Source organism: Homo sapiens, chromosome X (genome assembly GCF_000001405.40).
Source record: "Homo sapiens chromosome X, GRCh38.p14 Primary Assembly".
Lineage (NCBI taxonomy): Eukaryota > Metazoa > Chordata > Mammalia > Primates > Hominidae > Homo > Homo sapiens.
Window position 1 is genome coordinate 31,070,845 of NC_000023.11, and position 26,964 is coordinate 31,097,808.

Below are 26,964 nucleotides of genomic sequence, written 5' to 3' on the forward strand. Positions count from 1 at the left end.
TATTTTAATAAACTACAAGTTTTCATGTAAAGTTGAAGACCCTTTGTTTATTTTAATCCTTGCCCAATCCCATTTCCTTCACTTCTTCCCCAGAGGCAACCACTATGATGAATTCCAGACCACGTTTTACACTTTACCGTGCCCATGCACCCACAGCCACCAGGGCCCAAGAGTGACCACCCCACCCCATCCCACCCCACATACCCTGGTAGTTTACAAAGGGAAGACTAATGTGTTTTCCAGGGGCCCATAAAATACCATTCCACTCCACCCCTGCAAATCCTGAGCTGCATGCAGATGGGGCAGGGGTGGGTGGAGAGACTGCTGGATACCTACTTTAAACCTGCATGGGGATTTGCCCTGATTCCTAAAAGGTGAGAGTTGCAGGTGTATCAAATGGACACCTTTATTGCTTTGAGAACCAGATAACTTTTTTGCTAACAATGGTAAAACTGAAAGATAAAACTGAAGAGAACGTTCTGAAAGGGCAACATGCACGCCCCGCCTAGTGGCCTGACCCAGGGAAGGGACCCCGTGGCTGTGGGGCCCATCTGGGCTCAAGTCTCTTTGACGCGGCCGCCCAGGGTGAGCTTGTCGAACAGGTACTCAGCCAGGCCGGCTTCCGGGGAACAAATCTTGCGCAGGTTGCTCACGTAGCCACCCAGCTCTTTGATGGTCTTGACTTGCTCGTGCAGGTAGTGGCTCTCCAGGAAGTGGCACAGCTGGGGGTCGCCCTTCTCCACGGCCAGCTGGTACAGATCCAGCAGGCTCTGGTTGACGTTCTTCTCCAGGTGGAAGGCGGACTCCATGGCCACGAGCCCGCTCTCCCAGCCTTGGCACTCTGGCTTCCTGATATCGTGAAGGCAGATGTGGCCACCGCGCAGGTTCTGCAGCCTCATCAGCTTCTGGGCATGCTCCATTTTGTCGTCCGACAGGCGCAGGAAGTAGCGGAAGAAGTTCTCCAGGGCCACGTCGTCCCGGTTGAAGTAGAAGGCCATAGACAGGTACAGGTAGGAGGTGTAGAGCTCCAGCGTGATGTGGCTGTTGATGGCGGCGTCGCAGTTGGTGTCGTACTTCTGGCGCACCTGCGACGGCTGGGCGGTGGCCATGGCGGGCAGCGCAAGTGCAGGCGAGCACACGGGCGAAGTCGGTGCGGTAGCGAGGGCAGCAGCTGAGGTGACAAGAATGGCGGATAGTGAAAGGCGGGTGTGCGATGAAACCGGAAGTGGGCAGTGGAAGTGGGCAGTGGCGACCGTTAGGGAGGAGCGCGCTCTGTCGGTGGGGGGAGGGGCGGCGGGGGACAGAGTTGCGGGGCAAGGGGGTGGGGGCACAAGCGCTGACTTCCGTCGGAAATCCCGGCCACTTGGCGCTGAATGTTTCAAGACCATCTTTTAAAAATAACTGCTCTAGGCCGGGCACGGTAGCTCACGCGTGTAATCCCAGCACTTTGGGAGGCCGGGGCGGGCGGATCACGAGGTCAGGACATGGAGACCAACCTGACCAACATGGTGAAACCCCGTCTCTACTAAAAATACAAAAAAAATTAGCCAGGCATGCTGGCGCGCGCACCTGTAGTCCCAGCTACTCGGGAGGCTGAGGCAGGAGAATTGCTTGAACCCAAGAGGCGGAGGTTGCAGTGAGCTGGGATTGTGCCGTTACACGCCAGCCTGGGCAACAGAGCAAGACTTGTGTCAAACAACAACAACAAACTGCACTATTGAGATACAATTCCTCTGCCATAAAATTCACCCTCTGAAACATTTCCATGGTTTTTAGTATATTCATGAAGTTGTGTAACTATCACCCCATCACCAAAAATCTAATTTCAGAACGTTTTCCTTATTCCAAAATGAAATCCCCTACCCATGAGTAGTTACTGCCCATCTCGCCTTCCTCACTGGCCCGACAACCACAAATGAAATCTCTGTTTCTAGAGATTTGCTTACTCTGGACATTTCAAATAAATCATACTATATGCGGCCTTTATATGGCCTCTTTCATTTAGCATAATGTCTTTAACTTTTGTCTTTTTTATGGCTGAATTATATTTCATTGTATGGATATACCACATTTTATTTACTCATTCATCAGTCGATGGGCATTTGAGTTGTTTCCATTTTGTGACTATTATGACTAATGCAGCTATGAGGATTTTTATAATAGACATATGTTTTCAACTCCCTTGGGTATATACCTGGGACTAGAATTGCTGGGTCATATGTTAAGACTCTGTTTAACATTTTGAGGAACTGCTAGACTGTTTTCCAAAGTCCCCTCATCATTTTACATGCCCACTAACAATGTATGAAGGTTCCAACACTGTCATTGTCTTTGTTGTTTTTCTAGTGGATGTAAAGTGGTATCTCACTGTGGTTTTGATTTGCATTTCCATAATGGCTATTGATGTTGAGCATCTTTTCATAGTCATTTGTATCTTCTTTGGAGAAAACTCTATTCAAGTCTTTTGTCCATTTTAAAATTGGGTTATTTGTACTTTTATTGCTGAGTTTTAAGAGTTCTATATATATTATGTGTGCCAGTCCTTTTTCAGATATATGATTTGCAAATATTTTCTCTCATTCTGTTTTTTTTTTCACTTTCTTAATGGTGTCCTTTGAAGCACAAAGTTCTTAATTATGTTCAATTTTTCTGTTTTTCTCTTGTCACTTGTGCTTTTAGTGTCCTATCTAAGAAACCATTGCCTAATTCAAGGTCATAAACATTTATGTCCAGGTTTTCTTTGAATAATTTTACAGTTTTAGCTTTTACATTTAAGTTTCTAACTCATTTTGAGTTAATTTTTGTATATGATATGAGGTCATTGTCCAATTTCATTCCTTTGTGTGTGGATATCCAGTTGTCCTAGCACCATTTGTTGAGAAGACCATTCTTTCTCCACTAGATGGTCTTGGCACACTTGTCAAAAATCAATTGACCATAGATGTATGGGTTTATTTCGGGACTCCCAATTCTGTTCTGTCAATCTATGTGTCTAAACTGATGCTGGCACAACACTGGCTTGATTACTATAGCTTTGTAGTAAGTTTTGAAATTGGGAAGTATAGTCATCCAACTCTGCTCTTCTGCAGAGATTGCTTTGGCTATTCTGGGTCCCTTGAATTTCCTATGAATTTTAGGATATGCTTGTCAATTTCGTTTTTTTTTTTTTTTTTTTTTTTAAAAACCAGCCTACTGGGATTTTGTTAGGGATTGCATTAAACCTGTAAGTCATTTGTGGGAATATTGGTATCTTAATATTAACTCTTCTAGTCCATAAACATGGGATGTCTTTTAATTTATTTGGGTCCAGGACGTTTAAAAATAAAGATTTTGATTTAGGCTGGGGCTCCAAATCAGAATTTCTAAGCATCTCAGGTGATGCCAGACCACATTCTGAGTAGCAATGCTCTAAGAGGGAGGAGGCCTCTATCCCTTATCAAGGTTTAGAGATAAAGAGGACACATATATTGGACTCCACAAGCAAAAATTCCTGTTCTCACATCACAGACAATGCTTGTGCTATTTATTATACTAGATGTAGTTTTTTGTGGGAAAGGGAAGAGACCTTTCTCCTATCACAAAAAATTGTGAAAGACTTTAAAATCAGCAAAAACAATTTCCTGGATGTGGTTTTTAGAGTACCTTTCTGGGTTATCTCCATCTTTCATTGACTTAGAGTTATTTTCTAACTCTTCAGATTGTAGAAAACTAATAATAATGCAAACAATTCTTGTCCACAGAAATGCAAATAAATGTCTGGTGAAATGCAATTGATTTTTGACTTATTTTGCATCTATTTGTACATTCCTTATTTCAATATTCCTTATTCCTACATATGTATGGCTCTTTGAATTCTCCTTTGAGCCATTTGTAACATCTTACTAGTTTCCTCATTAATTAATAAGTTAAATAAAATGTTTCATGCACATATTTTATATTTATATGAGAGTCATGATTTTACTTTTTTCCTCGTAATTATTCTTTAGCACTCCCCAGGTCCACCCCCACCCGACCAGGAACACAACTGAAGCCCAGGGAAGTTGACTTGGTAAAGTGAGCACTTTTATGGGTTGCTCACCTGAGATATGATTCCAGAAAATTACTTAGGACCTAAAGGCATAGAATTCCTGACTGTGGAATTCTATATGGACTATGGAAAGATAGCCTCTCTGAGGAGAAGGAGGCAGGGAGTAGTCCAGGGCTGTAGGAGACCAACGAAAACTAGCAGAGGAAGTGGATATCCAGGGAGCAGGCCACAGAGGTACCTCACCAGCAGAACACTGTAGCCACAGTGGGGCTGAGGCTGGCCTGATGCAAACTGGGGAGGATAGAGAAGTAGGGGTGACCAGTAAAGGTCTGTAGAAAACTGGAACCAGCTGAGAACCAGGGAAGTGATGAGAGTTTCCAGGCAGAGAATGTAGTTAACAGAGATTTGAGGGGTGGAAGGTTGACTGACTCAGATGGGAGTTTGACAGGCTGAGGTTCATGGTCTGAGTAAAGTTAACCCTGGGAAAGAGGTAGGAACCTGAGCTTTTGGAGCCAGGATGAAGGATCCTCTCATCAGCACTTTTGTGCTCCCTGAATCATACCCCTGGAAGGGGTGTTCGGATCCACAGATACTAAGAGTGTGGAGTATCCAGGACTGGGCCATGGGCTTCATCTTCCAGAGAAGTTTCCTTCCAGCTGGTGATCAGATGTAGGGACGCTCTAATGCATTCTTCTTGGCCCTACTATGGGACAACTTTTTAGCACAAAGGCCGTAGGACAATGGTTGCTCCTATTTGGTTGGACACTACTGAGACGTCCAACACTCACACCCATACCATATTCTAAAGAAGAAAATGCTCTTTCCAGTCTCTAATTCCTTGCTGTTCTGATTTTGGGGGAAAAAAGAAGAATCACTGTCTTGAGGAGCAAAGGAAAACCCTCAGAACTTAGACATGCCCATTGTATGTAAGTTGATGGCTGATATTCGTCAGTTAAATAGGAATTGTTTCTAAGGTTATAACTTTTCATTTCTATTCAGTGTGCTGAATAATCTCCATCTACCTCTCTAAGACTACTCTCTGCTTTTCTCCATCTTACTTGGCACACTGGGAGGGGGAGGTTGACCTGTATGTACTGCACCCCTAGGTCCCTTGTGCTGTCTGGCTTCTAGTTGCATTCAGTCAACGGGAGGCACTGGCAGGATATGGGAGGGCAGGGGAGGAGTGAAGTTGAGGTATTTTTTCTCTTGGCTCCATCTCTTCAGGGCAGATAATTAAGAGGCGCCTTTATTTCCCTTTTATACATTTTGCTCCCTGGATGCAGTAGGACCATTCTCAGGATAGGCCTTCTGCAAACATTACTACAAAGAGCAGGTATTCTTTGGCTCAAGTTTAATGCACAGCCTAAGAAATTCATGGGGTCCCAGAAACCAGTGTGTAGCTGGACGTTCCGTCAGGCCAGAGGATCAATGGAACTGATGGGAGAAATAAAGTACCTGACTTAGGATAGTTGCGGGCCAAAATAATAACAGCATAGGTGGGACTGCCACCCAAGATTCAGGCTCCAGCTTTCTAGCTTATGGATTTCTTTTCTTTTCTTTTTTTGAGATGGAGTCTTGCTCTGTCACCCAGGCTGGAGTGCAGTGGCATGATCTCAGCTCACTGCAATCTCTGCCTCCCGGGTTCAAACGATTCTCCTGCCTCAGCCTCCCGAGTAGCTGGGACTACAGGCGCGTGCCACAACGCCTGGCTAATTTTTTGTATTTTTAGTAGAGACGGGGTTTCATCATGTTAGCCAGGATGTCTTGATCTATGCCCACCTCATGATCCGCCGGACCTCGTGATCCGCCCGCCTCGGACCCCCGAAGTGCTGTAGCTTGTGGATTTCTCTGGCCTTTGGATTCCGTCTCTCCTTAGGTGACTAGCGTTTTGATTACCTCTCATCTCATTAGTAGATTCATTAGAATGAGGATGAGGTAAGATGAAGCAGGGGTTCTACTTGTTAGTAACCATGTTTAAAAGTCTGGTTGTGGAAGATGTTGACTTAATAAGATTTGAGGAATATCTCAAGTAAACCTTTATTTATTTCAAGTAAAGCTTTGTCCTTCTCTGCCTACCTTCTGTTGCCCATGATTAAAGCTATCACAGAGTGCTCTGCACAGCACTGTGTCAGTGGGCCCAATCAATGTACACAAGAGATTATACATGCTGATTACTTAATTTGACACCTCTTAATTATTTGTTTGTAGGAAGGAAAATATAACCCTCAATTTCAATTTCAGATAGCCAAAAAGGTATTTTAAAAGTTTCCTTTGTTTATTATCTTTTCTAAATAGAGGCTGAATAATCTGTATTATATGACATTCAATTCCTTCACAGAGAATACTAGCCTGACTATAATAGTCAGGCTAGGCTAAGCTATGCTTCAGTAACAAAAAAAAAAAAAAAAACTAAAATCTCAATGGCTGAAGAAAACGTTTCTTTCTTTTTATTTTTTATTATACTTTAAGTTTTAGGGTACATGTGCACACTGCACAGGTTTGTTATATACGTATACATGTGCCATGTTGGTGTGCCGCACCCATTAACTCATCATTTAGCATTAGGTATATCTCCTAATGCTATCCCTCCCCCCTCCCCCCACCCCACAACAGGCCCCAGTGTGTGATGTTCCCTACCCTGTGTCCAAGTGTTCTCATTGTTAAATTCCCACCTGTGAGTGAGAACATGCGGTGTTTGGTTTTCTATCCTTGCGATAGTTTGCTCAGAATGATGGTTTCCAGCTTCATCCATATTCCTACAAAGGACATGAACTCATCATTTTTTACGGCTACATAGTATTCCATGGTGTATATATGCCACATTTTCTTAATCCAATCTGTCATTGTTGGACATTTGGGTAGGTTCCAAGTCTTTGCTATTGTGAATAGTGCCACAGTAAACATACGTGTGTGTGTGTCTTTATAGCAGCATGATTTATAATCCTTTGGGTATATACCCAGTAATGGGATGGCTGGGTCAAATGGTATTTCTAGTTCTAGATCCCTGAGGAATCGCCACACTGACTTCCACAATGGTTGAACTAGTTTACAGTCCCACCAACAGTGTAAAAGTGTTCCTATTTCTCCACATCCTCTCCAGCACCTGTTGTTTCCTGACTTTTTAATGATTGCCATTCTAACTGGTGTGAGACGGTATCTCATTGTGGTTTTGATTTGCATTTCTCTGATGGCCAGTGATGATGAACATTTTTTCATGTGTCTTTTGGCTGCATAAATGTCTTCTTTTGAGAAGTGTCTGTTCATACCCTTTGCCCACTTTTTGATGGGGTTGTTTGTTTTTTTCTTGTAAATTTGTTTGAGTTCATTGTAGATTCTGGATATTAGCCCTTTGTCAGATGAGTAGGTTGCAAAAATTTTCTCCCATTCTATAGGTTGCCTGTTCGCTCTGATGGTAGTTTATTTTGCTGTGCAGAAGCTCTTTAGTTTCATTAGATCCCATTTGTCAATTTTGGCTTTTGTTGCCATTGCTTTCGGTGTTTTAGACATGAAGTCCTTGCCCATGCCTATGTCCTGAATGGTATTGCCTAGGTTTTCTTCTAGGGTTTTTATGGTTTTAGGTCTAACATTTAAGTCTTTAATCCATCTTGAATTAATTTTTGTATAAGGTGTAAGGAAGGGATCCAGTTTCAGATTTCTACATATGGCTAGCCAGTTTTCCCAGCACCATTTATTAAATAGGGAATCCTTTCCCCATTTCTTGTTTTTGTCAGGTTTGTCAAGGATCAGATAGTTGTAGATATGCGGCATTATTTCTGAGGGCTCTGTTCTGTTCCATTGGTCTATATCTCTGTTTTGGTACCATTACCATGCTGTTTTGGTTACTGTAGCCTTGTAGTATAGTTTGAAGTCAGGTAGTGTGATACCTCCAGCTTTGTTCTTTTGGCTTAGGATTGACTTGGCAATGTGGGCTCTTTTTTGGTTCCATATGAACTTTAAAGTAGTTTTTTCCAATTCTGTGAAGAAAGTCATTGGTAGCTTGATGGGGATGGCATTGAATCTGTAAATTTCCTTGGGCAGTATGGCCATTTTCACAATATTGATTCTTCCTACCCATGAGCATGGAATGTTCTTCCATTTGTTTGTATCCTCTTTTATTTCATAGAGCAGTGGTTTGTTGTTCTCCTTGAAGAGGTCCTTCACGTCCCTTGTAAGTTGGATTCCTAGGTATTTTATTTTCTTTGAAGCAATTGTGAATGGGAGTTCACTCATCATTTAGCTCTCTGTTTGTCTGTTATTAGTGTATAAGAATGCTTGTGACTTTTGCACATTGATTTTGTATCCTGAGACTTTGCTGAAGTTGCTTATCAGCTTAAGGAGATTTTGGGCTGAGACAATGGGGTTTTCTAGATATACAATCATGTCATCTGCAAACAGGGACAATTTGACTTCCTCTTTTCCTAATTGAATACCCTTTATTTTCTTCTCCTGCCTGATTGCCCTGGCCAGAACTTCCAACACTATGTTGAATAGGAGTGGTGAGAGAGGGCATCCCTGTCTTGTGCCAGTTTTCAAAGGGAATGCTTCCAGTTTTTGCCCATTCAGTATGATATTGGCTGTGGGTGTGTCATAGATAGCTCTTATTATTTTGAGATACGTCCCATCAATACCTAATTTATTGAGAGTTTTTAGCATGAAGGGCTGTTGAATTTTTTCAAAGGCCTTTTCTGCATCTATTGAGATAATCATGTGGTTTTTGTCTTTGGTTCTGTTTATATGCTGGATTATGTTTTTTGATTTGCATATGTTGAACCAGCCTTGCATCCCAGGGATGAAGCCCACTTGGTCATGGTGGATAAGCTTTTTGATGTGCTGCTGGATTCGGTTTGCCAGCATTTTATTGAGGAGTTTTACATCAATGTTCATCACGGATATTGGTCTAAAATTCTCTTTTTTTGTTGTGTCTCTGCCAGGCTTTGGTATCAGGATGATGCTGGCCTCATAAAATGAGTTAGGGAGGATTCCCTCTTTTCTGTTGATTGGAATAGTTTCAGAAGGAATGGTACCAGCTCCTCCTTGTACCTCTGGTAGAATTCGGCTGTGAATCCATCTGGTCCTGGACTTTTTTTGGTTGGTAAGCTATTAATTATTGCCTCGATTTCAGAGCCTGTTATTGGTCTATTCAGAGATTCAACTTCTTCCTGGTTTAGTCTTGGGAGGGTGTATGTGTCCAGGAATTTATCCATTTCTTCTAGATTTTCTAGTTTATTTGCGTAGAGGTGTTTATAGTATTCTCTGATGGTAGTTTGTATTTCTGTGGGATTGGTGGTGATATCCCCTTTATCATTTTTTATTGCATCTATTTGATTCTTCTCTCTTTTCTTCTTTATTAGTCTTGCTAGCAGTCTATCAATTTTGTTGATCTTTTCAAAAAACCAGCCCCTGGATTCATTGATTTTTTGAAGGTTTTTTTGTGTCTCTATTTCCTTCAGTTCTGCTCTGATCTTAGTTATTTCTTGCCTTCTGCTAGCTTTTGAATGTGTTTGCTCTTGCTTTTCTAGTTCTTTTAATTGTGATGTTAGGGTGTCAATTTTAGATCTTCCCTGCTTTCTCTTGTGGGCATTTAGTGCTATAAATTTCCCTCTACACACTGCTTTGAATGTGTCCCAGAGATTCTGGTATGTTGTGTCTTTGTTCTCATTGGTTTCAAAGAACATCTTTATTTCTGCCTTCATTTTGTTATGTACCCAGTAGTCATTCAGGAGCAGGTTGTTCAGTTTCCATGTAGTTGAGCGGTTTTGAGTGAGTTTCTTAATCCTGAGTTCTAGTTTGATTGCACTGTGGTCTGAGAGACAGTTTGTTATAATTTCTGTTCTTTTACATTTGCTGAGGAGGGCTTTACTTCCAACTATGTGGTCAGTTTTGGAATAGGTGTGGTGTGGTGCTGAAAAGAATGTATATTCTGTTGATTTGGGGTGGAGAGTTCTGTAGATGTCTATTAGGTCCGCTTGGTGCAGAGCTGAGTTGAATTCCTGGATATCCTTGTTAACTTTCTGTCTCGTTGATCTGTCTAATGTTGACAGTGGGGTGTTAAAGTCTCCCATTATTATTGTGTGGGAGTCTAAGTCTCTTTGTAGGTCTCTAAGGACTTGCTTTATGAATCTGGGTGCTCCTGTATTGGGTGCATATATATTTAGGATAGTTAGCTCTTCTTGTTGAATTGATCCCTTTACCATTATGTAGTGGCCTTCTTTGTCTCTTTTGATCTTTGTTGGTTTAAAGTCTGTTTTATCAGAGACTAGGATTGCAACCCCTGCCTTTTTTTGTTTTCCATTTGCTTGGTAGATCTTCCTCCATCCATTTATTTTGAGCCTATGTGTGTCCCTGAACGTGAAATGGGTTTCCTGAATACAGCACATTGACGGGTCTTGACTCTTTATCCAATTTACCCGTCTGCATCTTTTAATTGGAGCATTTAGCCCATTTACATTTAAGGTTAATATTGTTATGTGTGAATTTGATCCTGTCATTATGATGTTAGCTGATGATTTGGCTCGTTAGTTGATGCAGTTTCTTCCTAGCCTTGATGGTCGTTACCATTTGGCATGTTTTTGCAGTGGCTGGTACCAGTTGTTCCTTTCCATGTTTAGTGCTTCCTTCAGGAGCTCTTTTAGGGCAGGCCTAGTGGTGACAAAATCTCTCAGCATTTGCTTGTCTGCAAAGTATTGTATTTCTCCTTCACTTATGAAGCTTAGTTTGGCTGGATATGCAATTCTGGGTTGAAAATTCTTTTCTTTAAGAATGTTGAATATTGGCCCCCACTCTCTTCTGGCTTGTAGAGTTTCTGCCAAGAGATCAGCTGTTAGTCTGATGGGCTTCCCTTTGTGGGTAACCCGACCTTTCTCTCTGGCTGCCCTTAACATTTTTTCCTTCATTTCAACTTTGGTGAATCTGACAATTATGTATCTTGGAGTTGCTCTTCTCGAGGAGTATCTTTGTGGCATTCTCTGTATTTCCTGAATTTGAATGTTGTCCTGCCTTGCTAGATTGGGGAAGTTCTCCTGGATAATATCCTGCAGAGTGTTTTCCAACTTGGTTCCACTCTCCCCATCACTTTCAGGTACACCAATCAGACGTAGATTTGGTCTTTTCAGATAGTCCCATATTTCTTGGAGGCTTTGTTCATTTCTTTTTATTCTTTTTTCTCTAAACTTCTCTTCTCGCTTCGTTTCATTCATTTGATCTTCCATCACTGATACCCTTTCTTCCCGTTGATCGAATCGGCTACTGAGGCTTGTGCATTCGTCACGTAGTTCTCGTGCTGTGGTTTTCAGCTCCATCAGGTCCTTTAAGGACTTCTCTGCATTGATTATTCTAGTTAGCCATTCGTCTAATCTTTTTTCAAGGTTTTTAACTTCTTTGCCATGGGTTCGAACTTCCTCCTTTAGCTCGGAGTAGTTTGATCTTCTGAAGCCTTCTTCTCTCAACTCGTCAAAGTCATTCTCCGTCCAGCTTTGTTCCATTGCTGGTGAGGAGCTGCGTTCCTTTGGAGGAGGAGAGGTGCTCTGATTTTTGGAGTTTCCAGTTTTTCTGCTCTGTTTTTTCCCCATCTTTCTGGTTTTATGTACCTTTGGTCTTTGATGATGGTGATGTACAGATGGGGTTTTGGTGTGGATGTCCTTTCTGTTTGTTAGGTTTCCTTCTAACGGTCAGGACCCTCAGCTGCAGGTCTGTTGGAGTTTGCTGGAGGTCCACTCCAGACCCTGTTTGCCTGGGTATCAGCAGCAGAGGTTGCAGAACAGTGGATATTGGTGAACAGCAAATGTTGCTGCCTGATAGTTCCTCTGGAAGTTTTGTCTCAGAGGGGTACCCAGCTGTGTGAGGTGTCAGTCTGCCCCTACTGGGGGTGCCTCCCTGTTAGGCTATTCGGGGGTCAGGGACTCACTTGAGGCAGTCTGTCCGTTCTCAGATCTCAAGCTGCGTGCTGGGAGAACCACTACTCTCTTCAAAGTTGTCAGACAGGGACATTTAAGTCTGCAGAGGTTTCTGCTGCCTTTTATTTGGCTATGCCCTGCCCCCAGAGGTGGAGTCTACAGAGGCAGGCAGGCCTCCTGGAGCTGTAGTGGGCTTCACCCAGTTTGAGCTTCCCTGCTGCTTTGTTTACCTACTCAAGCCTCGGCAATGGCAGGCGCCCTTCCCCCAGCCTCGCTGCCGCCTTGTAGTTTGATCTCAGACTGCTGTGCTAACAATGAGTGAGGCTCCGTGGGCATAGGACCCTCTGAGCCAGGCACGAGATGTAATCTCCTGGTGTGCTGTTTGCTAAGACCATTGGAAAAGCGCAGTATTAGGGTGGGAGTGACCTGATTTTCCAGGTGCCGTCTGTCACCCCTTTCTTTGACTAGGAAAGGGAATTCCCTGACCCCTTGCGCTTCCTGGGTGAGGCGATGCCTCACCCTGCTTCGGCTCACACTTGGTGCGCTGCACGCACTGTCCTGCACCCACTGTCCGACACTCCCCATTGAGATGAACCCAGTACCTCAGTTGGAAATGCGGAAATCACTCGTCTTCTGTGTCGCTCACGCTGGGAGCTGTAGACTGGAGCTGTTCCTATTCGGCCATCTTGGCTCCACCCCCCAAGAAAATATTTCTTGCTTACATCACAGTCTGAGGCAACTAAAATGACTCTCTTTTATGGTTGTCCACCAGTGGCTAACTTATAGATGCAGGCTAAAATTCCATCTGGCAGTTCTGCCATCTCAGAATTCTTTACTTCCAACTGCACAGAAGGGAAAGAGGAAACATGGAAACTTTTCTCTTGCTCTTTACTGCCTTGGACCAGAAGTCATATGCACTTCAGCTCAAACCACCTGCAAGGGAGGCTGGGAAGTGCAGGAGAAAACGTGATATTTGGTGAATAATAAAATCTCTGCCATGCATGTTTTACCCATTTATCCTAGTTTTTTTTTAAGTTGTTTAGAATCCACATTTGGCGGGGGGTATTATTAAAAAGTGTTCCCCCTTTCTCTGTGTGGTTGCAGAGAAAGGGGGAACACTTATACACTGTTAGTGGAAATGTGAATTAGTTCACTCACTGTGGAAAGCAGCTTGGAGATTTCTCAAATAACTTAAAACAGAACTACCATTCAACCCAGTAATCCCATTACTGGGTATATAGCCAAAGGAAAAGAAGTCATTCTACCAAAAAGACGTGTGCACTTGTATATTCATCACTGTGCTGTTCACAACAGCAGAGGTATGGATTCAACCTAGATGCCCATCATCAATGGATTGGATAAAGAAAATGTGATACATATACACGTTGTATCACAGGCATAAAAAAGAAGGAAATCATGTCCTTTGAATTACATGGATGCAGCTGCAGGCCATCGTTCTAAGTGAGTTAACACAGGAACAGAAAACCAAATGCTGCATGTTCTCACTTATAAGTGGGAGCTAAAGATTGAGCACACAAGGACACAAAGATGAGAACAATAGACACTGGGGCCTACTGGAGGGGAGGGTGGGAGGTGGGCAAGGTTTGAAAAACTATCTAGTACTGTGCTCACTACCTGGGTAATGGATCATTCATACACCAAACCCCAGTGGCATGCAGTTTACCCATATAGGTTTGTACCTGCAGGTGCACTCCCCGAACCTAAAAGTCAAAAAGAAAAAAATAAAAGAAATTTTTTGGAAATTTGAACAGCAACAACAAAAAGAACTCACATTTTTGACTACTGTTGTTTAGTTACTAGAGCGTGCATATAGCAAGGCTTCTTTTGAAAACAGAATTTCACAATTTATATTTTGTGTGTGGCAACGTACTATGTAATGCAGCTTGTGTGGTCCCATCTCCACATAATTGCTTCTGGTATTCCGCCTTGGCCATATTTATCTCCCATTCTAGATCCCAGCTTGCCATTTAGACTCAGATCCAACCCTGTCTTCTACCTGAAACCTCTCTGTCTAAAGTGAACTCAGCCTCCTCTAAAGATCTAAAGGGATTAGTGCCCACACAACTAGCACGGCAATCAGTCATGGACTGCCCAGTGACGCCTTGACTGTAATTGCCTTGAACTATTAATCTTCTCGTTTCCTTTGTGTCCCTTTAGTGCAATGTTGTCCCCGACCCATAAGCTCATGGGTGGGAAACTCCCTATCTTCAACTCCACAACAATCAACTAGACAGATTAGCACAGAATAAGTGCTCAAAACCTATGGGCTGATTTGATCTGATTTAATTAGGTTCATAGAGTCAGCAAACATCTGAAGAAACATCAGTACTAAGTACATCAGCAAACATCAGTACTAAGCATCTAAGTACTATGTTCCAGGATTTGTGCTAAGAATTGTGGATAAAGAGATAATTAAAGCATAGTGCCAATCCTCAAGACTCTTCCAGAATTTTAGGGGTAAACTGAATAAAAACCAACATGGTGTGGTAGCTAGCTTTCAAAGATCACCCAGCAGTTCCTCCCCTCCCTGTTTGAGCGTGCTATTCCTCATCTAGAGTTGGCACTTATATTGTCCACCAGTGACTGCCTTGCCAATAGAATGTGGAGGAAGTGGCATTCTGCGACTTTCAAGAGAATGGGCAGCTTTTTCTTCCTTCCTCTTAGAGGTTTTACTCTTGGGATGCCCCCCTACCCCGAATCTAGTCACCATGTTGTGAGATGTTCTAACCAGATGAAGTGGCAACAAGAAGGAGAAACAAGGCTGAGTTCCCAGACAGCAGCCAATACCAACTGCTGGCCATGAGAGTAAGCTGTTTTGGCTATTCCAGATGACTGCAGCCCTGCTGACATAACAAAGAGAATAACCACTGATATGAAGCCAGTTCATGTACAGAATTATGACCAATAATAAAATGGTTTTTGTTTTAAACTGAGGGGGTTGCTATGCTGCAAAAGATAACTGAAGTACAGGGTTAGATAGTTTTATCAGTACAATGGGTCCACAAAGGAAGCAAAAGGATGAAGAAAGCTCAGGAGTGCCCTCATAGGGGTGACATTTGAGCTTATGAGTGGAAATTTCCCAGGCAGAACTTGAAAGAAAGGAGTTTCCAGTTCGTGATTCCATGCAAGGAAAGGCATAGAGGTATAAAACTATTATGCATGTACAGAGTATGACAAGCAGTTTGTGATGGATGACATGTGAATAAAGGGGGAGCTACAGGTATCTTGAGAGAAATCAGAAAACCTAGAAGCCTGGTCTTGGGATTTATTCTTTATCCAGTGGGGTGCTTGGGTCTTTTTAAAGCAGAGGAGTGTCAAAATCAGATGTTTTCTCTCAGACAGATTACTTTGGAATGAATGACTGGGTAGACTGGAGGGGTGTGAGACTGCAGAGAAAAAGAACAGCCAGGAGACTTTTGTAATGATCGAGTCTAGGAAGATGAGGTATGTGGAGTAGGCAGTGAGTGACATGGGAAATGGAGAGGAGAGATGGGATGCAAATGGCATTGAGGTGGACAGCTAAAAGAATTTGAATATGGGTGTGGGTAATGAAAGAAAGAGGAATCTAGGACTCCCAGATTTCAGGCTTTGGTTCACCATCCTTGGAGACTGGCAATGCAGGAGGCCAAGCAGTCCAGAGGAAGAAGATAATGACTTGGGATTCAATCAAGCCCTTGAGTTCTGAGTCATCCAAGAGAAGATGTTCTGTAAAAAAGTGACTTGTGATTCAGAGTTCAGGAGAAAGGGCTCAATTAAAATAATAACTTTAAGAAGGGTGTCCAGAACCTGTGGAAAAATGAAGCCCCTTTGTAGGCATTTATTCTGTTAAAGAGTAGTATTTTAGAGAAAAACATATCTGAAAGATATCGTGTTTGTAGGCAGGACCCTGGAGAGATGATGTAACCAGTAAGAGGTGGTGTTAGGACTTATTTTTCCATTAGTAGTAATAGGTTATAGAGAGCTAGAGACATGCTTGTCCATGCTTCTTTATGGCTAATATGACAGAATTTGTCTTGTGATCACAATTTGGGTGTAGTTGGTGGCTAAAAAAGATTTTCTCTGCATGAAGCTAACTGACCCACCTGGGCTTAAGCTCAGTCTTAGCTTTATTAGGTCCACTCTCCAAGCACCTGAGCAATCTCCTGGCCTAAGGCTGCATAATATGCCAGTCATTTTCAATGAGATGAGGTATCTGAAGATTAGGAGCAATGGGAAATTACTTTGATTTTTCTGAAAGCTCATCATGATTAGGTGATTCCTAAGAATCCAACTTTGTACCACATGTTACTTAATTACGTGATTATTTTGAAGACAAATGGAATACTTTGAGGCAGGTTTCGGAAGCGCTGTAATAAAGACTATTACAGGCTTTCTGTGTTATGTTGACAGAGAGTTGTTTATATTCGTCACTATGTACATGAAGAGCTTGATTTGACCTTATCAGGTAATTTGTTGGAGATCTGCGTGCATGCTGTAAACGGAATTTTACTACTTTTAATGGACCCTGAGCAGAGCTGAGTGGGCATTTGATTGGAATCTCGACCAGCCTGTTTATTATCTTGCTTTCTATTTATGTACAGTCACTTTCTTCTGGAACAATACCCAATCATGTCATTAACTTGCTCATTTTTTAGTCTTCTGGCTCTGCCTGTCACATACAGGAATATTTGCGCTTAATTTGATTATTTAATAGGGTTCTATTTCCCCAAATGTCCTGGCTTACTTACAAATAAAAACAAATTATTTCTGAAAGCCATAGTCTCCAGGTCATGGAGTGCTCAGGCACATTTTAGAACCACCAGTGGTGGAGTCTGTCTATTCTCCTCATTCCAGTCCAGTGGAGAGGAATTTTATCTATCAGAATGGGCTACAGCGTGCTTCAGTTACAAATACATAAGTCCCCTGCACCCCCGCCACCCCGCACTGCACCAATCTCAGTGTCTGAACCCAATAAGGGGTTAATTCTTGCTCAAGGCCAGGAATAGGGCAAGGCAAATGAAGTGCCTAGGATTCAAAATTTCAGGAGGCACCCACTTCCAGGGTCATGGAGTGCAGGTCTTGCTTATACTGGGTGGCCAATGTGCATCAATAAGAAGCTCTGCTAATTGCCACACAGGGATCCAAACTGATAGGGCTTCATCTCAACACACACTTTGTGATCACTGAAGCAGTGGGAAATGTAGCAAATTGCTCACTGGCTCTTTAAGCTTCCACTGGAAAGTGATGTGTATCATTTCTGATCATTTCATTGGCCAAAGAAAATCCACTGGTCTGACTTCAAGGGCGACAGGGAAATACCACCTTACCACTTGCCTGGAAAGTGGCAAGCAGAAAGTATTTGGTGAACACTCTGAATGATTTGTATAGTTATGTTTCCTATATTCTCTAGCACAGAGTTCTGTGGAGCACTGAGCCCAGAGTATTGTGCCCATAGCTCTGACAACTTGCAACTTCAGGTCTTCGAATAACATCTTTCTTTGACATCGCTTGATTATAACCTCAATGAGAAAAAAAAAAAATCACTTCCCGGCGGGGTCCAATGCCTGTGTGGAGTTTGCATGTTCTCTCTAGTCTGCATGGGTTTTCTCTGAGTACTGTGGTTTCCTCCCACATCTCAAAGTTGTGCACGTCAGGTTCATTGGCAAGTCTACATGGTCCCAATGTGAGTGAGTGTGAGTGTGCCCTGCAATGGAATGGCATCCTGGCCAGGTTCTTGCCTCGCTCCCTGAGCTGCCTGGATAGACTCTGGCCACCCATGACCCTAAACTGGAATCACTGGGTAGATAGTCTTACCTGTTTTATTGAATCTTTCTTAAACATTGTATAGTTCACATGTATTCCAAGGTTTAATATTAGAAGTGTCTTGGTCTTTATTTAGAAGTTTGGTGATGTTTTGTGATCAGAAATATGCCATAGGAACTTAACTCTTTTTTTTTTTTTTTTCTGAGACTGAGTCTCACTCTGTCGCCCAGGCTGGAGTGCAGTGGTGCTATCTTGGGTCACTGCAACTTCTGCCTCCTGGGTTCAAGCAGTTCTTGTGCTTGAGCAGCTGGGACTACAGGCATGTGCCATGACACTCGGTTAATTTTTGTATTTTTAGTAGAGTCCGGGTTTCACCATGTTGGCCGGGCTGGTCTTGAACTCTTGACCTCAAGTGATCCACCTGCCTCGGCCTCCCAAAGTGCTGGGATTACAGGCATGAGCCACCGTACCCTGCCTTAACTTTTTTTTTTTTTTTGAGATGGAGTCTCGCTCTGTCGCCCAGGCTGGAGTGCAGTGGCGCGATCTCAGCTCACTGCAAGCTCCGCCTCCTGGGTTCATGCCATTCTCCTACCTCAGCCTCCTGAGTAGCTGGGACTACAGGTGCCTGCCACCACGCCTGGCTAATTTTTTGTATTTTTAATACAGACGGGCTTTCACCATGTTAGCCAGGATGGTCTCGATCTCCTGACCTCATGATCCGCCCGCCTCAGCCTCCCAAAGTGCTGGGATTACAGGCGTGAGCCACCGCGCCCGGCCGCCTTAACTCTTGTTTATAACAATTAGCTTATGGAAAAATTGGTTTCCTTAGGCATTGTTTTGCATAAACTTGCAGTTTCCAAGAAATTGTTGACGATGTTAGTGAGGTCATACTGTAAAATGAATTCTGGCAATAGGTCGCTGGTAGATTACAACTACTTACAGGTGCACAAGGAGGCTTGTTAGGTGGATGGACTGTGCCCCTTAACATCATCTGCTCAGCTGAGAAAGAGCTTTCACAATGTACTAAGACAACAACATCCCTAAGGTGAAGCTCTCCTCCCAGGGTGCTGAAAGCTTTGCCATATGCAGCGGCTGTGATTACCAAGGCTTGTCAAATCTCAGCTGAAGAAAGAGCACCACTCCTCTTTCTTTACTTCTTAATTTCTCTAATGCTCTTTTCCACTATTTTTTAACTCCAGGAAGCTTTGGAATATATTCTGCAAAGAAGATGCTATCCTAAATAGAGTTGATCTGTGTCATCACTGAAATTGTCAATGAGCATTCTTTATTGTTAGTTGTGTACTCCAGAAATAGCTAGATAAAAAGGACAAAATATAAAATAAAAAGAAAAGGCAAAAGCAGTGCATTTTTGCCTTTGATTATTATTATTATTTGCTTCTTCTTTAAATGTAAAGCAAAGCATATTTGTGAAATGATTTAAAAATAAGAACAGTCTTGTATTTTTTAGGAAACTGTTTTTAAGGATTTCTTCACACTTAACCAGTTCTCCTCAAGTATCTCTGTCTCTCCGATTTGGCACACCTGTTTTACAGATGAGGCCTCTAGAACACTGGCTGGTTAAGAGATTTGATTACAGTCATGAGGTGACTGTATTTTGGGTTTGACTGGTATTTTGAGGGTCAAGTAATACCATAGTATTGTGGTTTCTACCTTGGCCTTTAGCTTCTCCTGTGGTGATAAACCTGTGGATTTTATTTCAGCAGGGATTTTCAAGTTGTTTTTTGGTATTATAAATAATACTCTGAAATGGAGATTTCTCAGTCAAGTTCTATCTGGTTATTAGTTACATATCATATATTTGGTTGAATATTTGCATTGAGATTTAGAGAAGAGGGAGTTTAAGATGGAAGGTATCTCAGTCCTGCTGAATATGGAATCATATCAGTTTTCCATAAAGCCCTTTGTTTATGGATTGTTAAGACCATGCTGATCCAGAGTGAGCAGCAGTTGAGTATGTCTTCAGATCTGGACCCATATCCAGGTTGAATGGGAAGACTCTGGGCTGACATTTTCTTTTACTTCCAATGTCCTGGCTCCATGGATTTTGAAGGTAAAGATTGAATGTATCATCAACAAGACAACATTTTAGCTTTGTAATGACTAAAACACGGTGCCAAGTATTGGTGAGGATATTGAGAGGATATAAAATAGTATAACCACTTTGAAAAGTTAAGAATAGGTTCAACATGGACCTATCCTATGACCCAAAAATTCTACTCTGAAGTATGTGGAGTGTGAAATAGAACACATGTACACATAAAGAACTGATAAGAATGTTTGGCCTGGTGAGGTGGCTCACACCTGTAATCCTAGCACTCTGGGAGTCTGAGGCGGGTAGATTGCCTGAGCTCAGGAGTTTCAGACCACCCTGGGCAACATGGCAAAACCCCATCTCTACTAAAATACAACAACATAGCCCAATGTGGTGGCAGGCGCTTGTAGTCCCAGCTACTCGGGAGGCTGAGGCATGAGAATTGCTTGAACCCGGGAGATGGAGGTTGCAGTGAGCTGAGATCACACCACTGCACTCCAGCCTGGGCGGCAGAGTGAGATTCTAACACAAAAACAAAACAAAAATGTTCATGGCACCTTCATTCGTAACAGCCCCAATCTAGAAATAACCCAAATGTTCATCAACAGTTGAATGGATAAACAAATTTTGAAATAGTCATACAATTAAATACTACTCAGCAATAAAAAGGAATGAGCCACTGATACACTCGACAACAGGTATAAATCTTTAAAATATTGTATTGAGTTAAAGAAGCCTAAGACACACACACAAAGTACTGTATGATTCCATTTATATGAAGTTCAAGAACTGGTAAACCCAAGCCATGGTGATAGAAGTCAGAAAGTGATTACCTCTGACAGGGGTATTGACTAGAAAGAGCTACAAGGAAACTTCCTAGGATAATGGAAATACTCTATAACCTGATTGGAATGGTGGCATGGGAAGCTGTATACTTACATCTGTGCTTTTATGGTATGTAAATTACACTTAAATTTTAAAAAATACAAAATGAATTTCAGACCTCAGACTTTACAGGACCCTGATCTAACTCACATTTTCCCCAAGTGTTCTTACTTATTTTTTTTGAGAGAATATTGAATGAATATGTCCTCTCCCTTGATCAGTTGATTCAGAGGAAATCAATCCTAATTGTCCCAACTTTACTTTCTTCAAGGAAGAATACAAGAGCTACAATGGAGTCTGAATCTCTGACCACATGGGGTTGGCCATCCTTTCCTTAGCTTATCTCCTGTTAACAGCTCAGGGTCACAATAGTGACAGGACACAATTACACAAAAGCTCCCTCTTTGTCTACATAGAATCAATAGCAATACATGATGCCTTGAAAGATTAAAGCCAAATGCCTGGTCATCCAGGTGATGAAAATGGAATACACTAGCTGCTATTCATCTTCAGTGAGTCAGCATGGTTCTTTCAGGTGAAAGGAACTGCATCAGATATGGGCAAAGCTGTGGTGACTGCAGAGGTAGATGTTCAGAAAGGACAGAGGGGAAGGAAGAGTGACAAATATACTCCCTGTTTATGCCATAAAGGTTGACATTACAAGCTTGAAGTGGCACTGTGTTTGCATCTACTCTACACCTACTGGGATATGAAAACGACAATATGATGAAGAAGGAAAAATCCCACCATTGTCTGATTTACTGCCTTGGAACTTGGAATGCTGTGAAGGTTTATGTCTTTTTCTTTTTTCTTTTGGTCCCTAATGCTTTCTAATATTTTGAAAATGAACAATCACTGTTATAATGTGTTCTTCATTTATATAATGTTAAGTATTTACATTTTTATATAGTTATAACTATGAATGGAATACATTTTAAAAAGGTGGATGTTATAGGTGCTAAAAAGAAGCTTATGCAGTTATTGAAAACTAAGTGAAAAAAGGAACCTATTATGAGTACATAGACCATCTTTCCCTTGACTGTTAGAGCAAGTCTTTTCTTAAAAGCAGTGGATTTTAATGTGGCATGCATATTGGGGCTTGTCCTCTTGGAATGATCACTTATCCACCAAGCTGAGAAATTCCAAGCAACCACGTAAAGATCTCTACATGGAAGACAACAAAAGTCCCTGGCCAACAGCCAGCCTCAACTTGCCAATTATATTAATGAGGTCATCTTGGAAGGGGATCCTCCAATCCTAAGTTGAGCCTCCCCAGCTGATTCCACATGGAACAGAGATGAGCTGTCCACATCAAGACTGGCCGAAATTGCAGATTTGTGAGCAAATGTATGATTTTTTTTTTTTTGCTAATGTATGATTGTTAACTCATTACGTTTTGGGATGATTTGTTACATATGACTGAAACAGTTCCTCAAACTATTTTCTACGTGTATTTTATCTAGGTGTCTATCACTACCTAAATTTAAGTTGGCATATATATTTTAACTCTGTTTAGTAGTTCAGGAACTCTGTTGAGGAAGATTCTGAGACTGCAGCCTAGTTTAGTAGAAAAGCATGCATGTCCTTCATTTAATTTATTCACCACACAGCAGGCAGGGTGATCTTTTAAAAAATCAATCTGATTGTGTGACTACACTGCTGAAATTCTCCAGGGGCTTTCCAATGCAGTTAGAATGAAAACCAACATCCTTATTGTCATTTGCAAAGCCCTCTATTCGCTGGCCTTTACTTGATTCCCCTTCAGTCTCATTCCATGCCACTCTCCCACTCAGCCACTCACACAGTCCAGCTTCACAAGTTGTGTTTCAATTTCCCGAACATGCCAAGGCAACTCCCACCTTTGCATCTTTTTATCTGTATTAGATATTCTCCCTTCCTGGAATGATCTTTATAGGACTGACTTCTTATCATTCAGATCCCAGTTTATCTTCTCAGATAGACTCCCCTGACTAGGCAAATCAGTCAGCTATTACTATAATATGGTTTCATAGCAAACGACCTCACAATTCAGTGGCTTAAAACAGCAAGTATTTATTCTGATCTTCATAGGCCTGTGGGGTGATTGGGGCAGCCTTGCTCTATGTCTCAGTTTTGGGTCTGCATTGCCTCCTAAATGGGCAAATGAAAACCCTCAATCCTATTAAGGCCTAAACTAAGAATTCACACACTGTCTGTCTCCCACTCCCATTGAGATGGGAGAGTTCCCTTGACCCCTTCCTGGGGCTTACGACAGGGCTGTGGCTCCTTTACTCCTCTGCTGCACTCAAACCGCTTGTGGGAGGAGGAGCACGCAGGTGAACTGGTGCAGGAGCTGGGGCAAGTGCCTTTGGGTGCTGGCATGAACCCTGTACTGGCCTGTGGCAGCATTTAGGGGTTGCCCGTGACCTCTGGAGCCCCAGAGGGCATGTGTTACAAACAATGTTCTTTTAGCTTTGCCATCTGTGGATGGATTAAGTGCTAAACAGCTCAGTGAAGTCATCATGACAGTCTTTTTGGGTTCCTGCACCCAGTGTGTCGCAAATTCTTGTCTGGCATCCAAGAAGAATCAGGTCACATGAAGTGATTGAAGGGTAGTGTATGTGGAGGATTTTATTGAGCAATGGAAGTGGCTCTCAGCGGGATGGGGAGCTGGAAAGGAGATGGAGTGGGAAGATAATCTTTCCCTGGAGTTCAGTTGTCTCCAGCCAAACTCCTCTCTGACAGTAATCTCTGATGTCCAGCTGCCTCGTCTCCTCTCAATGTTCAGACGCTTCTGCTCTTCTCTCCTTCTTGGTGTGCTACCCTGCTCCTCTGCCAGTGGAGCTTGCGGTTTTTATGGGCACAGGATAGGGAGTGTGGCAGGCAGGGTGGTTTTGGAAAAGGCAACATTCTGGTGGGAAAACAGGAATGCATGTTCTCATTTAGGACCATGGGTCCAGGCTTGAGGGTGGTTCCCTCGCCGGGGACCTCCTCCCTTTTCTACCCAGTATTTCCCTGCCACCATTATCCAAGTCAATTTACACAGTCAACATGAATGTAGAGGAAAAACACTCTTCCTATGGAGGGGAAGATTGTTGAACAATAATCTACTACACCACTCAATCGAAAACCGCCATACCATCAGTCCTTTATCTTTATCTCACCCAACTTTAATTCTTTGAAAATAATCACTCTCTGATATTTTGTGTCTATTATGTTTATTGTCTGTTTCCCCGTGTTATAATATGTGTTGTATATGTGCAGAGGTGTTATTTGTCTTCTTCTGTTCCATATTTCCAGCACATGGAATAGTTTCTGGCTGAGATGAGATGCTCGACAAGAACAAATATTTGTTGCAGAAATTAGTACAGGGAGAAGCAACAGGAAAGCTGCTTATTTTCTCACTCCAAACTACACAAATATTTTGATCTTTTTAACCAATGTTTTTTCTTCCTGTAACTTGTCCATCTTTTCCAGTATTGTCTTCCAGTAATGTAAGAGACATCAAAGCTTTGACTCTGTTTGAATTGGGTCCCCCCAGAAGTCAACCTTGGGTCAAGGATTAAGGTACATTCAGTTTATTTGGGTGCAAGGATGTGGGCAGGGGAGTGGAGAAGTGATACAAGGAGGGAAAGACAGCCCATCAATGGGTTCATTATTAGGCCAGCTACTTTACTAGGCCAGCTACCATTAGCTAGAACTAGAACTTAATCCTACCAGTATTAACAATTCACTGTACAATTATCATGGTAAAAGGGCAAGGGAGCTGGGCATTTATTCCCTCATGCTTTTTGATCATTAAAGGCTGCCCAGGGGAGGGAGGGTAAAGAAGAGGGGTGGAAGCTGTTAGCTCCTAGGCACTTCCACTCAGCTTGTATGGCGATGTGGGGTTTGGCAGCCCCAAGTTAGGCTTCTGATGAAAATGCAGGTGTTAGCCATTGGAAGTCAGGCTGGGTGCAATAAAATGTTAAGGAAATCATAGGGGATATGAGTAGAGCAAACTCTGACTAGCTTTTTCTAAAAATAAGTTTTATTGAGCTATAACTGACATATAGCAAACTGTACATATCATACATATGATAAGTTTTAACATGTATGTAACCATTAAAACCATCACCATGGCTGGGCACAGTGGTTCACGCCTGTAATCCCGGAACTTTGGGAGGCCGAGGTGGGCGGATCACCTGAGGTCAGGAGTTTGAGAGCATCCTGGCCAACATGGTGAAACACTGTCTCTACTAAAAATACAAAAATTAGCCAGGTGTGGTGGCACATGCCTGTAGTCCCAGCTACTCGGGAGGCTGAGGCAGGAGAATTGCTTGAAGCCAGGAGTGGAGGTTGCAGTGAGTCGAGATCGCACCACTGCACTCCAGCCTGGGCGACAGAGTGAGACTCCTCAAAAAAAGAAAAATAAAACCATCACTAGAATCAAGATAATGAACATAGCCATTCCCTCTGACAGTTTTCTCCTGCCTCATTATAATCCCTCCCTTTGGCATCTTCCCATTCCTAAACAACTGCTGCTCAAGCCTTCTGTCACTATAATTTTCATTTTCTAGAATTGTATGTCATTAGAATCATGCAGTATACCTCCTTTTATTTTCTTCTTTCATTCAACATGATTATTTTGAAATTCATCTATGTTGTTTTGTGTATCAGTAGTTCATTCCTTTTTATTGCTGAGTAGTATTCCATTGTATGGATAGATCACAATTTGTTTATCCATTCACTAGTTGATGGACATTTGGATAGTTTCTACTTTTTGGTTATTGTGAATAATGCTGCTACAAATATTTGTATATGAGGGTTTTTGTGGACATATATTTTCATGTCTCTTGTGATTCTATTGGTAACTTGGAATTGGCCACGATGGGAATATTTACAGCATGGAAACTGACAAACCCTACAGATTCAAGGCTTTTTGTTCCCCTGAGAGATCTGGTTGTTAAATATTTACCATCATACCCCTAGATACACCCTAGAATAGGAATTGCTGAATCAAAGACTACACAGTTTTTAAAAGTCATTGAGATATATTGTCAAAATGGCCTTCTAAGAAGGTTGTAACTTTCTTGTTTATCAAAATGTGTGTATCTCCAGTCATAATGGCTATAACTAAAAAGTTAAAAAAAACAACAGATGCTGGTGAGGCTATAGAGGAAAGAGAATGTTTTTCATTGTTGTTAGGAATGTAAATTAGTTTGACCATGGTGGCCAGTTTAGAGATTTCTCAAAGAACATAAAACAGAATTACCATTTGATCCAGCACCCCACTGCTGGGTATATATCCAAAAGAAAATGAATTGTTCTACCAAAAAGATACCCCTGCACTTGTGTGTTCATTACAGCACTATTCACAATAGCAAAAACATGGAATCAACTTAGAAGATGCCCATCATTGGTGGATTGGATAAGAAAATGTGGCATGTATACAACATGAAATACTATGCAGCCATAAAAAGAAGGAACTCATGTCCTTTGCAGCTACATGGATGCAGCTGGAGGCCATTATCCTAAGCAAATTAATGCAGGAAGAGAAAACCGAATACCACATTCTGACTTATAAGTGGGAGCTAAACATTGGGTACTCATGGACATAAAGATGGCAACAATAGACACTGAGGGCTACTAGACGGGGGAGAGGGAAGGGGGTAAGGACTGAATGTTCAGTTCCCTCTAAGTTAAAAGTCCAAAGTCCAAGATGCTTATTCTTCCCCAGGGTGATGTTGGTGCAGGAATTTTCTCAACCTGTTTGTCGGACTTGGGACGGAGGGTGGCTTGTTTACTTGGCCCACCATGCTTAACCTTTTGAGGGAGAGAGCACTTGAGTGAGTGTGGAATCCAGCTGGCCGCATTGTGCACCTGCAGGAGCAGGCTCTGTGCAGACCCCGTGGCCAGACCAGGCATGGGCGAACAAGTGCAGAATCTGGCCAGCTGCTTTGGCTGCTGGCAGGAGCAGGCTCCATGAGGGCCCTGCGGTGGTGCCCACGTAGGGGTGCCTGCAATCCCCGAAACCTCAAAGGACATGTTACACTGCTCTCTTAGCTCCACCGTCCGTGGACAGTGGAGTGTTATCCGTTCAGTGGGCCCCTTGCCTCGTCGTGTGCGGTGGCTGCCTTCTGCCAGTGAGGGTAAAGGGCCAGTGTGACAGCCTTTTTTGGGTACCAGCACTTGGTGGGTTCAGAGCACTTGACCAGTGTCGAAGAAGAATGAGGTTGCATGGACACTTGAAGGATGGTGGAGGTGGAGAATTTTATTTAGGGATGGAAATGTCTCACAGTGGAGAGGGGAGCTGAAGAGGAGGCAGGACGGGCAGGTAATCTTCCCTGACATCTGGCAGTCTCCAGCCAGCTCTTCTCCGAAGT

At 42.5% G+C, this 26,964-nt stretch overlaps 1 protein-coding gene across 1 annotated transcript, besides 1 other annotated feature; it reads right to left on the reverse strand.

Annotated features, from left to right (window-relative positions):
• FTHL17 (ferritin heavy chain like 17) lies at window positions 389-1,197 on the reverse strand. Its single transcript, NM_031894.3, has one exon. It carries the CDS (start codon window positions 1,107-1,109, stop codon window positions 558-560), a length of 552 nt encoding a protein of 183 aa, NP_114100.1. The 5' UTR covers window positions 1,110-1,197; the 3' UTR covers window positions 389-557.
• Window positions 22,343-22,402: an enhancer, noted in NCBI's record as "active region_29511". NCBI's record gives its function as "activates an Ori minimal core promoter by ATAC-STARR-seq in GM12878 lymphoblastoid cells {active_cell/tissue: GM12878}" and the evidence as "EXISTENCE:reporter gene assay evidence [ECO:0000049][PMID:35858748]".

What these genes read in the sequence shown, in the direction of transcription:
- FTHL17 (NM_031894.3), bottom strand. Translation starts at nt 1,109, where the DNA reads ATGGCCACCGCCCAGCCGTCGCAGGTGCGCCAGAAGTACGACACCAAC.